Below are 17941 nucleotides of genomic sequence, written 5' to 3'. Positions count from 1 at the left end.
TTTCTTTGACAAATTGGTCAGTGTGAACTTGTGGACACTTAGCTGCACCAACCTGGAGTTACCCGTGAACCTGCAGATGCTGATGTCACCCGTTGGGGAAAAACATTTGGAATGGTCTGAATGTGGCAGGCCCTGCTGTGTTGGAGACAGAAGCCTTTCCACAAGGACCTTTCATGGACCGTTCCTTTAAAGTCACTTAGTCCTCACAACCACTTCATGCTGAACAACCTTCCCAATCTAACAGGGAGGAAACCCAGGCCAAATGTGTTTCCGTGATGTGTGCATAGATCCCCAGGGAGCAGTCACAATACGGGGTTCGGCCTCATCTGATTCCAGGGCTCACACTCTGTCCAGCACCCACGGTTTCTGCCCTTGAGGAGTTTCTTGTCTGAAATAAATATTACATTATGGACTGGAAAGCCACGTGACAGCATTAAATAAGAAAACTATGGGAGTCCTGAACCTCAGAAAAGGATTTTCATCGCAAAGATAATTTAAGTTGAATTGCGAGAGCATTGGAATGCACAGCTGATGGGTGTGATGAGGTCAGTGTGTGCAAAGTGGAGAAAGCGCTCGAGATGGGAAGGAAAGGAGGTCAGAGACCTCACAAATCGCGTCCCACCTAAGGGAAGGGGATGCATTCGCTGAGGCACGACTTGAAAGGCAGGTAGAACCACGTGACCTCACACTTGCAATCCACCAAACCTGACATGCGCCCTCCCTCTCTGCTGGACTCTGCCTGCCGCACTCTGCGTCCTCTTGCCGGCTTCCTCTCTCCCTCTCTAGAAACTAAGTGGTATGAGCACAGGCATCCTGAGGCCTGGCTCCTAGGAATACTCGGACACAGCGACACTTGCCCAATCTTTGGTGAATCAATGGATTTAAACTGCAGCAAATCCGGGGGAGGTCAGAGGAATTTTTTAAAGCAGGAGCAAAATATGAAAACATATGTTTTGCCTCAGTGAGGAGGGTGCCCGGAGCAGGGAGAGCCGCAGAGAGCAAGGGCATGTGAACAGCATGAGGGTCCTGGCTGAGGGACTCCAAGCTCAGTCCAGAGCCGCCCTCCCCCCGTTCCTAGCCTGCCCTCGGCACACAAGAGAGGCCTGAGGACTGCAGGTGTGTTTGCTACACCATTTTCCTGAGCTTGGAACCCTGGGGGATAATGAGAGAACTGAGACAGTGGATATTATTCTGTTTCCCTGTTCAGGCCATTTCTGGGTCAAAGACATTGTATTAGAAGGATTGCTTAAAAGTGTTTAACAAGCACTGAACCCAGGTCACCTAGCCCCAGCGTGTTCTCTGGGAACTGCGAGGGCAGGGTGGGTGGTGCTGCAGAGAGAATGAGTGTGGGGTCTGCAGAGGGAACGGGTGTGGGGTCTGCGGAGGGAACGGGTGTGGGGTCTGCGGAGGGAACGGGCGTGGGGTCTTCGGAGGGAACGGGCGTGGGGTCTGCGGAGGGAACGGGCGTGGGGTCTGCGGAGGGAACGGGCGTGGGGTCTTCGGAGGGAACGGGCGTGGGGTCTTCGGAGGGAACGGGCGTGGGGTCTGCGGAGGGAACGGGCGTGGGGTCTGCGGAGGGAACGGGCGTGCGGTCTGCGGAGGGAACGGGCGTGGGGTCTGCGGAGGGAACGGGCGTGGGGTCTGCGGAGGGAACGGGCGTGGGGTCTGCGGAGGGAACGGGCGTGGGGTCTTCGGAGGGAACGGGCGTGGGGTCTGCGGAGGGAACGGGCGTGGGGTCTGCGGAGGGAACGGGCGTGGGGTCTGCGGAGGGAACGGGCGTGCGGTCTGCGGAGGGAACGGGCGTGGGGTCTGCGGAGGGAACGGGCGTGGGGTCTTCGGAGGGAACGGGCGTGGGGTCTGCGGAGGGAACGGGCGTGGGGTCTGCGGAGGGAACGGGCGTGGGGTCTGCGGAGGGAACGGGCGTGGGGTCTGCGGAGGGAACGGGCGTGGGGTCTTCGGAGGGAACGGGCGTGGGGTCTGCGGAGGGAACGGGCGTGGGGTCTGCGGAGGGAACGGGTGTGGGGTCTTCGGAGGGAACGGGTGTGGGGTCTGCGGAGGGAACGGGTGTGGGGTCTGCGGAGGGAACCGGCGTGGGGTCTGCAGGTCTGGGCTCCTCCTCACTCCCTGTCAGTGGCTTTGCCCCCGGGGAGAGTCGCCTCAGGACCACTGCTGGTGGCATCTGCCCCACAGGGAGCTTTTGAACATCAAACGCACGGTGAAGGTTGGCAAACGCAGGGTGAGCGCCACGGTCATTGTCATCATACAGCAGAACCAGAACGAATGCGGTTCCACGTGCGCTCACACAGACACACTTACTGGTCTTCCAGGGTGAGGGGAGGTTGCATGTGCCTGGTCCACAGCCCCAATCACAGTGGCTTGAAACCACAGGTGCATATTTCTTGCTGTCCTGACAGTCAGGATGCATGTCCCACGTATGCTAGGAGCTACAGGCTTACCCCAGATCATGCCTGTGTGACCAGCAGGAAGAGAAAAGGAGAGACCATAAGGAAGCCACAGCTGCTTCTCAACTCTTCTGAACTGGATATAACAGACGTCACTCCTTTCTTCAGAGAGCATCAGTCTCATGGATCGCTGGATGCAAGCAGGGCTGTGAACGGTGGCCCCGGCTGGGCAGCTGCTCCCAGAAGAACAGGCTGCAGGGAGGCGGCCCACAGAGCTCTGTAAATAGGGCCCCACTGCTGCGATTCTGTCATTCCAAAAAAGATGAAGATGCATGAGCCACATTGTAGTGCATTAGGCAATCTCATAACTGAGTTACAATATTCAAAAACATTGCTGCAAATTAATTGATGTAATTATAAATTAAAAGTTTCTCAGTAGAAAATAAAAGTCTTTGCCATTTCTTCACATACTTCATGTCTTGCTGAAGTCTTATCATGTTCCCGCTGACCTAATGACTAAATTTAGACAATGCCTCCAAAAAGGTAAGTTCTCTGTCCAGATGCCTGCCATGTATTTGTTTATGAATGAGTGCCTTGAATGAGGAAATGATGACACTCATCAAATCTGAAACTTACAGAAATTTAGGAAAAGTAAGAATCTAAGTGGCAGAACCGAGACCTGACCGACCTGAACCAGCGGGCACAGTGGGGTGCGCCTAGGAAGATGGCAGTTAATATGGGGCAGCAGAAACCCTGCCATTTGGTTTCTAAAAACTGCTGCTGAATAGGTCTCCCACTCTCATTGGACTTGAGACAGGCACAGCAGGGCCACACAGCACCTGTTGGTGTCCAGCACAGCCAGCAAAACGCCACCCACACATTACCTGTCAGTGCCCAGCACAGTCGATGAGATGTGGGCCGCACAGCACCTATGGGTGTCCAGCACAGTCGGTGAGATGCCGGCTGCACACAGCACCTGTCGGTTTCCGGCACAGCTGGTGAGATGTTGGCCGCACACAGCACCTGTTGGTGTCCAGCACAGCCGGTGAGATGCCGGCTGCACACAGAGCACCTGTTGGTGTCCAGCACTGCTGGTGAGATGCCGTACCCAGCTGCCAACAGGGCAGTGTCTTAAGCCTCAGCAGCTGAAGTGCAGGCTCCAAGAAAGAAACCTCATGGCTTTATCATCATTTTTACTTTCCAGACATGAAATGTTCTATTCAGAAGGACTTTCCTGAAATCACACTGGCAAAAGAGGAGGCTGGGGGCAGGCGGGCCAGAGACCGAAGGTGGTGTCTCTGGATGAAGCCTCCACGCCTGCCTGGAGGGGACAGTGAAACTTCCATCAGCTTCCAGATTTTGCAAGATGTACCGTGGAAGAGAACTTGACCTGCTGTGCGTGGACCTAATAAATGGTGACACTGATGACCCAAATGAGTGACAGCTGTACGTCTCAAATCACCAAGGTTCATTGAGCCAGCGGGAGAGTGTGCCCAGGAAATCTGCATCACAGAAGCATCCACTGCCGTTTTTGCAGAGAGGTTCTTAGGAGACTTGGTATTCATACATTTTCCTCAGAAAAAGAAGTGGGGGCAACAGTGAAACAAATGAGTACATACTTGTGAGTCTTTAGCTAGTGCCCGCCAGTCTACGTTTGACCTAAGAGAAGGTGAACATTTGAGGAAAAGGGGAATAGAGGAAGCCCAGGTCTCGGGGCAGAAGGAGGGTTAACCTTGTTTCCTTTGCTCTGTATCTGGGAAGATCAGCCAGACTTGAAAAGGCTGTTTCTGCTCAGCCCTTGGGGAAGAAAATCTAAGGACTGTTAGTGAGGGATGGATATAATGGGGTGTGTCCTGTTGCCCCTGCCTTATGGCTCTGAGTTCAGCTGCCAGGGTTGCTTGGGGATCCCTGGCCCAAGAGGAAATCTGTTCAGTCAGCTGGGGGCTTAGGATTTCGGTTTTATTTCTCAATATAAAGGGTGAAGTTACTCAAAGCAAAGCATGACAGTGAACTTATCAGCAAATTCCCAATTGAGAAGATCTTAGTGTCACCTCCATTTTGGGAGACTTTGTTTTAAACTTCCTCTCTCCTACTCTCGCTGGACTTGATGTAGACTCTGATCATATTTTATTAATTTGCATTACATTATCATAATTCCGAGAGGCCCTCAGAAATGAAATATTCATAGAGAAAAATAACAGATCTAGACAAATAAATTAACACATTAAATTTTCGGTTAGTAGCTTTGCACTTTCTTTGTTATTATTCATCATTAGCTAATGTCCAAATATTAGGTTCTGTAGGCACGGGAATGTCAACGGCTCTGGTCAATTCCTTCCGGGAATATTGTCACTCCTTATTTTACTATTATGATGATGATGATGATTAGGACTAGTTACACTGAGCTTTTCACTTCTAACACATTCTCAAACCCATGAAAATTTAGTTCTTTAAAACTCTCCAGTCATAGAGACTTATTTTCTCCATCTTTAGTTCTCCATAACTTTGAGCTCAATATCTTATATCTGCTTTATAGAAAATTCATGTTTTGAAAGCATAATGAGTGCTCCCAAGTGGAAACCACCCTTCGGGTTCGCACTGTGAACCCCCAGGACACGCGCCATGAAGCGCCTGCAGTCTCAGCAGATGTGGTGCCAAGTCGGGCTCATTACCAGATTCCGAGAGCAGGCCGCCGCTGCCTTGTGCACGCAGACTTCACGCGAACTCTCCCACACACATTCCTCACACGGTTCACTTCCGTGTATGGTCCTACGTGTGGCTCGATTGAACTTGCAAATACCTCTTCTATCCACAAAACCAGGACATGAGTGGTTAGAGCAGTGTGAGAAAGGTCTGCCCCAGCCCCACGTCCTCACCCTGATGCACTGGGACATGGTCTGTGGGGCCTTTGCACATTGAGCCCCTTCCCAGAAAGCTTGTGCATCTTCATGGTCACAAAAATGACACAGTGACCACGTCTTTTTCCATTTCTATGAAAAATCAAGTTACAGGAACTTTGAATCAGTATCTGTTCCCCTCTGCCACGCATGGGAAGCGTGTCTCTGGGTGGCTGTGATTTGATTTTAGTCTCTGTGATGTAGGCCCCGGAGACTTGCTCATTCCTGGTGGGGGACCGGCATTAACGCAGGTGAGAAGTCCTCCTGGAACCCGGGGCAGACATCCACACCAGCTCCAGTGCCTGACCCAGGAAACGGCATCCCCTCTTCCAAGACATGTTCACATTATTCCACCACCTCTTCAATGCATGCATAGAAGGTATAAAACTTTTTCTGGCCTCACTGGACCTTACAAAAATAAAGCGACACACACTCATGCGTGTGTGACCTGTATCCACAAGATTGGCTCTCATTCAGCCCCCAGTTGCCACGGTCCACTTGCTATCTGGGTAGTTTTTGGTGCAGGTTTTCATAATAATGAAACAAAAATAATAAACCCATCATAACTGAAGTTTGCTCATGCCAATAAACTGTTCTAATATTGACACAACGTTCCTTTTTATCACTTGAAATCATTGAATATCTTGGGAACTGATAATGATGCATTATCCTCCTGTTTAATTCAGATAAACTAAGTTTTTAAGGTTAAGAGTTGGTGGCAAAGTGGCCAACACTAACTTCCAGGCCATTTCTCACTGCGCCACTATATATTTTCTCTCAGGTGTAAATTATGGTTGGTTTATGCCCTGACATGGTTTGGTTCTGTGTCCCCACCCAAATCTCATGTTGAATTGTTATCCCCAGTGTTGGAGGCAGGGCCTGGTGGGAGGTGATTGGATCATGGGTGTGGACATCCCCCTTGCTGTTCTGCTGACAATCAGTGAGTTCTCACAAGATCTGCTTCTTTCAAAATGTGTAGCACCTCTCGCTTTGCTCTCTTCCTCCTGCCCCACCATGTGAGATGTTCCTGCTTCCCTCGCCTTCTGCCATGATTGTAAGTTTCCCGAGGCCTCCCCAGCCATGCTTCCTGTGCAGCCTGTGGAACTGTGAGTCAATTAAACCTCTTTTCCTTCTAAATTACCCAGTCTCAGGTAGTACTTTATAGCAGTGCGAGAACAGACTAATGCATGCCCCCACCCCATAATGCATGCCTATGTAGTGAAAAATAAACTAAGTTGATTATAAAGATGGTATAAAAAGTGGACCTGATGCAATTAGTTGTGTCAAAATTCCTAAATGTGTGACATGTTGCATTACTTGAAACGAGTGTAAAACATCATAATAAACTTTATGTTTTTCACATTTTCTAATAGTTCAATTGAGTTATACTACTTTTTTCAGGTTTGTATGATTTCCTTATTTGGTATTTGTAATTCTCTTTGTTTTATAAAGTTGTTAAGTTAAACTAAATCTTATTCAATGGCATCTATCTTTCCCACACAGAAAATCTCAAAATCTTAAAACTAGAAGCAGCAATTACCCTTGAAATCACAATGTAAAGTCAGGCAAAAAATAGAAATAATGGTTGAATCTTCAAAAGCAGAATAGAGACTCCTGTCTCTTCTCTATTCCAACCGATGTCAGGAAGTTTCCTTTGGAGAGACTCAACCAGAGAGATTCCAGTCAAATGCTTGGCATGGCTAAGGGCTGAGGCGATCTGCAGTGCACAAACTTTGGGAACAGGTAAAGTCCTAAATTCAGAATGCTAAGGTCATGGGTTCCTCTCCTATTCTCTGCATCTAGAAAGCTATCAGCCAGAGAGGTAGCCAACCTGGCCCCCAGCACCCACACACAGCAACAGGAGAGTGAGAGTATCTGGAGTGGGAACGTTTCTCGAAAACATACTGACTATTAGGGTTCTCAAAAAAAAGGTGGGTCCCACAGGAGCATCTAAGCGTATAGTGCACAAACCCCACAGTGAGCTGGTGGTCATAATTTTCATAGCCTTACTCTGTAACATGATAACCAGGTGTTAGAAAAATACCTCTAAAATAAACAAAATAGATCAACAGAAAAAAATTTTCAGCAGAAATAGGAAGAGTAAAGAGAGCAGGAACAAAAAGGCTTCAAAAAGTGAAATCATAATAATATCCTCATCTAGATAGAAATGAACATTGCACATCTGAAACAAGAAGTCTGAGGAAACAACAAAAAGTCATTTTAAAAGTAAACCGACTTAAAACTAAAACTAACCAACTTAAAACTTCATAAAACTAAACCAAGTTGAATTTGTGCCTTTAATCAACAGATAATTTTTATAGTATAAGTATGCCCCATACAATAATTGGCCGTACTTACGCAAAAGCTAAGAATTATTTGTTGATTTTCTGAAATTCAGATTTAAGTGGGCATTCTGTATTTTTATTTGCTAAATCTGGCAACTCTACCTAAAACTAAAAACATAATAGTAGAAATGAAATAAAAATCAACAAAAAGATTAGAAAATAAAGTTGACGAGTTCTTCTGGAAATAGGAAAAATAGGTAAAGAAATAAAAACTGTAAGAGAAAAAAATAAGAAAATTAGATACCTGTTCAGGAAGCTCAATATTTAAATAACAGAATCCAGAAGGAAAGAACACAGGAAGCCCAGGATGGGAAGGGAACTGTTTTTACAGAAAACTTAAAAGCAAAAAGGTTCCCAGGACTAAAGGCCACACATTTCCAGATTTAAAAGACCCTCCAATGCCTTCAATAAAGAATAAAAAGGACTCGGATTGAAACAATCAGGGAATTTCAGGACATAAAGGAAAAAATAAGTAAGTTTTTTAACTTCCGAAGGAAAGCAGCAGGTAGCAGGTAAATGCTGGGAGGCAGAGGGCCTGGGATTCCAGCAGCAGGGGTGGGAGCTGAAGGGGCTGGAGCAGAGCCCCCACTTCCAGGAGGAACCCAGGGTTCTTCCTGCCAGTGGCTGGGCCATCTTTCAGCACCAGCTCCCTGCCCCGCGCTCCTCCCTCCCCTGCTCCAGGACGTGGGGCTCCGCCATTTCCCAGCCGGGCTCCTCAGAGGTGCTTCCGTGCAGGCACCGGAAGGAGGTGAGGAGGAACGCCCTGGTGTCCCCGTCAGATTTGTCCATAAAGGCTCCGACTCAGAGAACCGCTGGCTTCAGGTGTACCCGGCCGCCCTCCCTCCTTGCGGGTCTGAGCCCCTGCTCTGAATGATTCCCCGCTGAGCCTCTAGGCTCTGCAAGGCTCTGTGTCTGTTTGCCTGCATCGAATCCTTTCTGTGGAAATACCTGTTTCTATTTTCCTAACGGGAATCCAACATACTTAGTACTAACAGTTGATAGGTTTATGTGACTGTCTTGGCTATCTTCTTGTGGTTTGTGATACCTCATAATTTATTAACATATGAAGATAATTTTTAAAAAATTGGTGATCTGGTTTTGGAAATGTATTCTGTATAGTCCTTGAGTATCCGCTGGCTATGGGAACTGTTCTGGCTTTTCACATATGCTGTGTTCTCTATTTTTTACAAGATAATTTTCTTATACTAAATTTTTAGGTGAAAAATGCTAAGAATCCACAAAACTGGTCATTATGGGAAACATCAGATTGTTACAGCTGCTCTCAAGCTTCAAGGTGGATGTCTTATAGTTTTAGAAATAATAGCATACATTTAACAGGAACAAAAAAATCAGACCAAAGAGATACATAAAAGGGAAAAATAAGATTGGAAATGTTAATTTAAGTTTAAAAAAATAACCAGAGTTAATCAGCAAAAGATGTATCGTGAGATAGAGTCCTAACGGCAGGGCCGATTCAGGGTCTTCGGTAAAGTCTCGGAATGCCGTGGACTCATCAGCAAGACTTTCTTCATCATGGCATTAAACTCATCAGCCTATATTGACCTGATGCTGATAAATAATTTAAAGGATAATACCTCGTACTAGCTGTATATGAGTTCAATAAACTCAGGATTTAAACTTAGTGTCTCCAGGGAGAGACCGTGGTGACCCTCACATTGCATGTGTCTTGGCTGTGTGACTATTTTTATTGCAAATGTAGAAGAATACATTCTGAGCTCCGGAGGCAAAGTCCTGACCTGAGCTCATCTGTGGGTGCTTTGAGCTGCCTCCCCTCATTGCAGGTGCCAATGGGCTTTGAGACAACGTGGTGGAGGGACAGACCCAGAGCACTCTGGAAGGTCAGAGATGGTCACCCCAGAAAGTTCCCTCCTTGCTCCACCTGGGAGCAGGGAGCACCCTTTCATTTATGTGAAAACATTATTGTCTACACTTGTGCATATTTCACATAAATTTTAGAATCAAGTTTCATTAAAAAATCCTATTGGAGAATTGAAATTTTTAATGAATAGATTTGATAGTTTCAATTTAATTGATTTAGTAGTGCAATCTGGAAAGAATTGACAGCTTTAAAATGGTGAATTCATCTACCTAGTAAGGTTGTCTCTTTAGTTAGGCTTGACTTTTATGTTCTGAAGCTTATAATTTTACACAATCATGAACCTTGCATACTTCTTGATTCCCAGATATTTGGGGGGATTTTCTGGAAACAATTATATCTAACCTTTACAATTTCTAACTAAAAATTAATTGCCTGGTTAATGTTTTACTTTACCAATTTGTGCGCATGCCCAGATGGAGCGCATTGCCTGACCAGGTTGGAACGCAAGTACTGTGTGCTATTTCTTTTCGTTTGGACAAGTTCGCCCTGCAGAGTAATCATATTAGCTTCTGCCTGGAAGCTGAGTGGGGAAAGGAGAGTGCAGGTTTCACTTTTCAGTTTATAAACTTTCCCTCGTTCTCCACTTTCAGTTCGGAATGTTCACCTTCAGCTGTGCCGGAGTCCATCTCCTTCAGAGGTCCACAACCTCCACAGCCCATTGAAATCACACAGGAGCTTTAAAAATCTCAACACTCAGGCCACACACCAAGCCAATTAAGGGGAACCTCCAGGGTGGGATGCAGGCCCAGGCGGATTGTACAGCTCGCCAGGTGACCCACTGTCCTGACCCTTGATACTGGAAGTGTGAGACTCAGACGGATGCAGGGGTGTCCCCGGGGAGCTTATTAACCATGCATGTCTCTAGTTTCACAGACCTGTTAGATTGGAAGCTGCATTTTAACAAGCATCTCAATGCTCGTGAAAGTTTGAGAAGCACTTCTGGGCCTCCAGGCTTCTGCTGAGGTGGGCAGGGCTGGTGGCCAGGCTTTTGTGGTGGGAAAGGAACTCTGGGACATGAACATTTTCTCACACAGCAGCAGGTCCCAGACTTGAGGGAGCTTCAGAAGCACGTGCAAAGCTTTGGGCTCTACCCTCTGGAGTTTCTGACTCGGGGTTTAGCACGGGACCCATGCTGTGCATTGCTAAGGATTCCCAGGTGATGCCCTGCTGCTAGTTGGAGACTATACTTGGAGATACAGCATTCCACAGACTCGAGCAGCCTCCACTGCATTTTCAGCGGCATTCTCTGCTGTATTCAGCTTCAGCTGCATTCTCGGGTGCATTGACCTGCTCCCAGGCCTTTCTTGAGATGCCTTTGGGGAGACGCTGATTCCAGCCTTCCCTGCCGGTAGCCTGGCTTTTGGCTCTGCCTGGAGTGTTTCGTCCGCCATCACGCTTCCATCCATCTCCCTGCCTCCTGTATTTTGTTGTTTACATTTCATCTCTCTCATCTTCTTCTTTATCGTGGGTTTTATTTCTTTATTGTCATTTCAGTGGGATTTGGTCACAAAACAAAGACAAATCTGTTAAATTGCCTACAATGATTTTGAAATCCCTATTAGTTACTTTTTAACATTTGTGACAGCCATTAAATTCTGAGGTTATTCATTATATTGTCAAGCCCTGTTGTTTGCTGTATTCACTTTCCTTGGGTTTTAGCTCCTTTTCTAGTTAAATTTGATGCATTTTTTGTAAATAAAAGTTTATATTAAGATCATTGTAGATTTGCATGCTATTATATGTATAGAAAGAACTGGTGGACGCTTTATCAGTTTCTGCCATAGTTACATCCTGCAAAATTAAAGTACAAAATCACAACAAGGATAATGACATTGATAGAATTAAGAACAGCTCCGTCGCCACAAAGATCTCTCCTTTGGCAACCACCAATCACACTTCATCTCAATAATTTTGTTATATAATGCTATATAGCATTACATATTATATATGTATATGTGTATATGTATATGTATATGTATATCTTCTGTTTCAAGAGTGTTATATCAATGCAGTCATATGGTATGTGACTCTTGGGATTGGCTTTTTTTACTCAGGACAATTCCCTGCAGATTCGCCTAGGCTTTTGCAGCGTTAGGAGTCTGTTCTTGGTTTGCTGAGGAATCCACCGTGCAGTTACACCACAATTTAACCATCCTCCTATTAAAGGATGTCAGGGCTGTTTCCAGTCTGGGGCTATGAAGAACAAACCTGCTACAAGCATTCATTCACGTACAGGTTCTATGTGAACATGCTGTTTTATTTCTCTGTGATAAGTGCCAATTCTGGGTCCCATGGTAGTTCTAAGAAACTGCCAATCTACTTCCATGGTGGCTGCAACACTGAGACTCGTACCCGCCGTGGGTAAGCCATCGGTTCACCACACCCTCTGCAGATTGACTGTTGGCACTCTCTTCTTTTGGGCTTTCAGATGGGTGGACAGTAGCATCTGATTCATTATGGTTCTTTCTCTTTGTGTTTCTCTGGTGGCTGATGGACTTGAACATCACCGCACGTGTTTATTTGCCATCTGTCTGTCCTGCTCCATGAAATATCTGTTCATGTTTTTGGCCCATTCTCTAATTAGATCATGTGTTACCTTTCTGTTGGGTTTTGACAGCCCTTTTCTATTGCAGATTTGAGACCTTTGTTGGGTATGTGGTTTGCAAACATTCAGTCTGCAGCTTATTTTTCATCCTCCTAACAAGGGCTTTTGTAGAGAAAAAGTTTCAATTTGGAGTCCAATTTACCAATTTCTCTTTTTTTATGAATTGTGTTTCTCACGTCAAGTCTAAGAACTCGTTGCCTACCCCTAGATATTAAAGATTTCCTCCTATTTTTTTCTAAAAGTTTTACAATCTTACCTGTTACATAAGAGTCCATGATTCATTTTGAGTTAATTTTTAAAGTGTGAGATTTAGATTTATTTTCAACTCTCTGCGTTGTAAAGGCGAGTCTTCCTCTGATGCATGGCTTTTGCCCCTTGTTGAAAAGCATTGAGCATATTTGTGTGGTCACTTCTAGTTTCTCTGTTCTATTCCTTTGAGGTGCATGGGTAGTCCTGCACCAATACTATGCTGTCTTCATTAATGCAGCTACATGGTAGGACTTGAAATCTGAGAAAGTGATTTCTCCCACCTTGTTCTTCCTTTCAAATACCATTTCAGTCAACTCGGGGTCTGTGCCCTTCCATATTATGGTAGAATTAGCTTGTCTATATGTACAAAAACCCTGCTGGGATTTTGACAGGAATTGCATTAAACATAGAGAAACATTTTAGGATAATTGACATATTTATGCTATTGAACTTTCCTATCCATAAACAATATGTTTTTCACTTATTTAGGTCATTGATTTCTTTCAGCAGGAGTTTGTAATTCCGCATTCAGATGTTGTGCATGTTTTATTAAATTTACACCAATTATACCACTTTTGTAGTGATTGTGTAAATGTTCTTGTATTTTTAATTTCACTTCCATATGTTCATTGTTACTGTATAGAAATGTGATTGATTTTAGTGTGTTGAACTTGTATCTGTGACCTTACCAAAATCCCTTATGGGTTCTAGCAGGTTTTTTGTAGATTCTTAGGGATTTCACACATAGACAGTCATGCCATCTGCAAGTAGAAAGTTTTAATTTTTCCTTCCTGCATTAGTTTGCGAGGGCTGTCATACACAAGTACTACATTCTAGACAGCTTAGACAACAGAAATTTATTTTCTCAGAGTTATGGAGGTTGGAGGTCCTAGATCAAGGCCTCAGCAGGCATGGTCCTTCTGCAGGCTGCAATGGAAGGACCTGTTTCAGGACTTGCTCCTTGACTTGTGACCCCGTCTTTTCCCTGTGTCCTCACATCTTCCTTCCTCTGTGTCTGTCTGCATCCTAATCTCTTCACATAAGGACACCAGTCTACTGGGTTAGTGCCCACCCTGATGACCTCCATCTAAATTACTTACTGCAGTAAAGTCCCCCTTATTCTCAGTTTTGCTTTCTCAGAATTCATTTACCTGTGGCCAACCATGGTTGGAAAATATTAAATGAACAATTCCAGAATAAACAATTCCTAAGCTTTAGGTTGTGCGCTGTTCTGAGCAGTGTGATGAAATCTCCCACAGTCCCTCTCTGCTCCTCCCGAGATAGGCATTGTGTCTTTGTCTGGCATGTCCATGTGGTATACACCTCCCTCCCAGAAGTCACTTAGTAGCCATCATGGATCAAATAGAAAAATGGCAGTGTATATACGGTGTGGCTCCATCTGTGGTTCCAGACCTCCACTAGGAGTCTTGCAACACAGTCCTCCCTTGTGAGTGTGGGGGTGGAGGGAAGTGGTAGAGGGAGGTCAGTGTACCTCTGACAAGCCCCATCTCCAAATACAATCACATGCTGAGGTACTGGGGGTAGGAGTACAATGTGAATTTTGGGGGCACATAATTCAGCCCATGACACTTTCCAATCTGTGTGTTTTTATTTTTTTTTTCTTGACTAATTGCAGAGGCCAGGACTTTCAGCAAGTTGTGGACAGTGGTGAGAACCAATGGCCGTGCCACAATCTTGGTCTTGGAGGGGATGCGTTGGGTTCTCATGATCACATGCGATGCCAGCCCTGGATTTCTCAGATGCTCTTCACCAACCTGAGGGATCGTCATTGCCTGAGAAATTTTATAATGAATGGGTGTTGGGATTTGTCAAATGCTTTTTCTAAATCACTCCATAGAGCCACATATTTTCTTCAGTCTGTTTATATGGTGGATTACCTGGATTGATTTTTGAGTGTTGAACCAGCCTTGCATACCTGGGAAATGTACGATTTGATTGTAGTGTGCAGTAATTTTATGCATGGGTAGATTTGCTTTGCTAATATATTGTATGGAGTCTTTGCATCTAAGTTCATGAGTGATATCAGACTGTTGTTTTCATAAGTGAGGCTCATAAGAAGAATTAGAAAGTGTGCTTCTTTTATATTCTGAAAGAGATTATATAAAATTTACATTAATTCTTCTTTAAACATTTGCTAGTGTTTTTCAGGAACTCCATCTAGGTCTGAAGATTTTTGGGTGGGAGTTGTTAAATACAAATTAAATTTAAGAGGTTAAAGCTGTTCAGGTTATCTATTTCACCAGAAGTGAACTGCAGTAGTTTCTGTTTTTCAAGGAATGAGCCCACTTTATTTCAGTTGTTGAGTTTCTGTGTGTTTTTAAAATCCCTTATGATTCCTTTAACAGCTGCAGTACATTTATTGATTTCTCACTTTCATCACGATATTGATGATTTGGGTCTTTTTAAAAAAATATTTACTTGCTAAAGGTTTATCAATTTTACTGGTAATTTTCATCAGCTTTTTGGTTCACTGATTTCTCCATTTCCTATATTCAGTTTCATAGCTCTTTATTCTTATCTTTTTATCCTACCTATTGCTTGCTTTGGGTTTATTTTGCTCGTCTTTTCTGGTTGCTTTAAGTAAGAATTTAGATTATTGATTTAAAACCTTCCCACTTTCTAAAGCGAACACTTAGTGTTATACATCTCCCTCTCAGAACTGGCTTGCCTGCATATCCCCAATTTTGATATGTTGTATTTTAATTTTTACTTATTTTTACTTCCTTTGAGATTTTCTCTTTGACCCATGGATTATATGTAAGTAGATTGTTTAATTTTCAATTGTTTAAAGAGCTTCCTATTGTGTATCTCTTATTGACTTACAGTTTTATTCCATATTGGTCAAATAGTATACTCTGTCATTTCAATTCTCACAGGATATGGCCTACCATGGTTTATGTTCCGTGACCACTTGACAAACATGTGTATTCTTCTGTTGTTGAGTAGAAGGTTGATGTGGTTTGGATCTGTGTCCCCACCCAAATCTCATATTGAATTGTAATCCCCAGTGTTGGAGGTGGGGCCTGGTGAGAGGTGATTGGATCATAGAGACGGTTTCTCATGAATGGTTTAGCACCATCCCCTTGGTACTGTTCTGTTGATAGTGAGTTTTCAGGAGATCTGATTGTTTAAAAGTGTGTGGCACCTCCCCCGTCCCTCTCTCTCTTCATCTTTCTCTGGCTATGTGAAGTGCTGGCTCACCCTTCACCTTCCCTGCATTAGTCAAGATTCTCTAGAGGGACAGGACTAATAGGATATATACATATATATATATATATATATATATATATATATATATATATATATATATATATGCTTATTAAGACATATTAAACTCACACAGTCACAAGGTCCCACAAAAGGCTGTCTGCAGGCTGAAGAGCAAGGAAGCCAGTCCAAGTCCCAAAGCTGAAGAACTGATGTTCAAGGGTGGGAAGCATCAAGCACAGGAGAAAGATGTGGGCTGGGAGGCTAGGCCAGTCTAGCCTCTTCATGTTTTCCTGCCTGCTTTATATCCTGGCCGTGCTGGCAGCTGATTAGATCTTGCCCACCCAGATTAAGGGTGGGTCTGCCTTTCCCAGCCCACTGACTCAAATGTCAGTTTCCTTTGGCAATACCCTCACAGACACACCTTGGATCAATACTTTGCATCCTTCAATCCAATCAAGTTGACACTCTGTATAGACCATCACATTCTCCATGACTATAAGTTTCCTGAGGCCTCCCCAGAGGCCAAGTTGATACTAGCATTACACTTCCTGTAAAGGCTGCAGAACTGTGAGCCAATTAAACCTCTTTTCTTTGCAAATTGTTCAGTCTCAGGCTTTTCTCTATAGCCATGTGAGAATTGACTAATACAAAGGTTCTATATTATGCCAAGTAAATTCTGTTGAACAACTATGGTATTCAGTTCTTCTATCTCCTTACCAGTTTTCTGTTTAGTAGTTCTATCATTGCTGAGAGTGGAATGCTGAAGTCCTCAACTATAATTGTGGATATGCCAATTTCTCCTCTCAGGTTTATAACATTTTAATTGTGGTTAAAAAAACATAAAATTAATCATCTCTACCATTTTCAATTGTACAACTCAGTAATATTAAGTGTATTTACATTGTTATGCAACAAATCTCCAGAACTTTTCCATCTTGCAAAAGTAAAATTCTATATGCATTAAACAACAACAGCTCTATTAGTTTTTGCTTTATATATTTTGAAGCTCTATTGTTTGGTGCTTACATGTTTGTTGCGTATATCTTACAGGTGGACTAATACTTTTATAATAATGTAATGTTCCTCTTTGTCTCTAGTAATTTTCTTTGCTCTAAAGTATACCTTATCTAATATCAATTTAGCCACTTCTGCATTTTTAAAAAATTAACATTCCCTTTTCCATACTTTTACTTTCAACCTACCTATATTGTTGTATTTGAAGTGAGTTGCTTATAGACTGCCTATTGTTGGAACATATGTTTTTATCCACTCTGATAACTTCTCTTTTGATTGGTGTATTTAGGCCATTCACAATATGGGTATTTAGGATATTTTTAGGGCTTAATTCTACTATTTATCATTTGTCTGCTATTTATCATTTTCCTCTATTCTCCCTTTCTATATTTTTCTTTTCTTACCTTCCTTTTAGATAGTTGAGTCCCTTTGTGGGATTCTATTTTTAATTATTTATAGATTTTTGAGTATACAACTTGGTATAATTTTCTTTGTTGTTGCTGTAGGTATTACAATATACATACACAACTTATCACAGTTTAGAACACATGTTTAGGATGTTGAGTGAAGTATAGAAATCTTATTTCCACCTAAATCCCATTACTCTCCCCAAGTTTAAAATATAATTGTCCTAAACATTTCTTCCACATACATTAAACACCACCTTAGATAGTATAACATCTTACTTTAATTGTTAAAAGTGATTAAGAAACCCTTGAGAAACAGAGCAGTCTATTACATTTACTGGATTTAGAATTCTGGACAGACAGGTTTTTTTTCTCTTTTTATCTTTTTTAAATTTTTTTATTTTTTGAGACAGGGTCTCACTTTGTCACCCAGGCTGGAGTATTTTTCTTTTCAGCACTTGGAAACTGTCTCCCCAGAATTCTATATTCTGTGAAAAAAAAATTTCAAGGGAAAATAAAAATATTTCAAGTAAAAGAAAATCTAAGTTAACGTATCAATAGCAAGCCTGAGCCTGCCCTTAAAAATTGCTACAGGACATTCTCCATACAGAAAGGATATGATAACTGGAAAAGGGAACTTCAGAAAGGAAAGAAAAAAACATTGGAATGGATAAAAATAGGGGTAAATATATAGACTATTATGCTTCTGAAGAGCCTCTTAAATTATATTTGATAGTTAAAGAAAAAAATTATCACAGCATGTCATGTGATGCTCAATGTATAGTTTTTAGATTTTCCTGAAGCTTTCTATTTGTTAATTTGTTTCAAGGTAATTCATAAATGTTTGTTGAAGCATATTTATATTGCTGCTTGAGAGCCCTTGCTAGATAA

The sequence above is a fragment of the Homo sapiens genome, chromosome 2 (genome assembly GCF_000001405.40).
Source record: "Homo sapiens chromosome 2, GRCh38.p14 Primary Assembly".
NCBI classification, from domain to species: domain Eukaryota; kingdom Metazoa; phylum Chordata; class Mammalia; order Primates; family Hominidae; genus Homo; species Homo sapiens.
The sequence above is the reverse complement of the archived record's forward strand: the minus strand, read 5'-3'. Positions refer to the sequence as shown.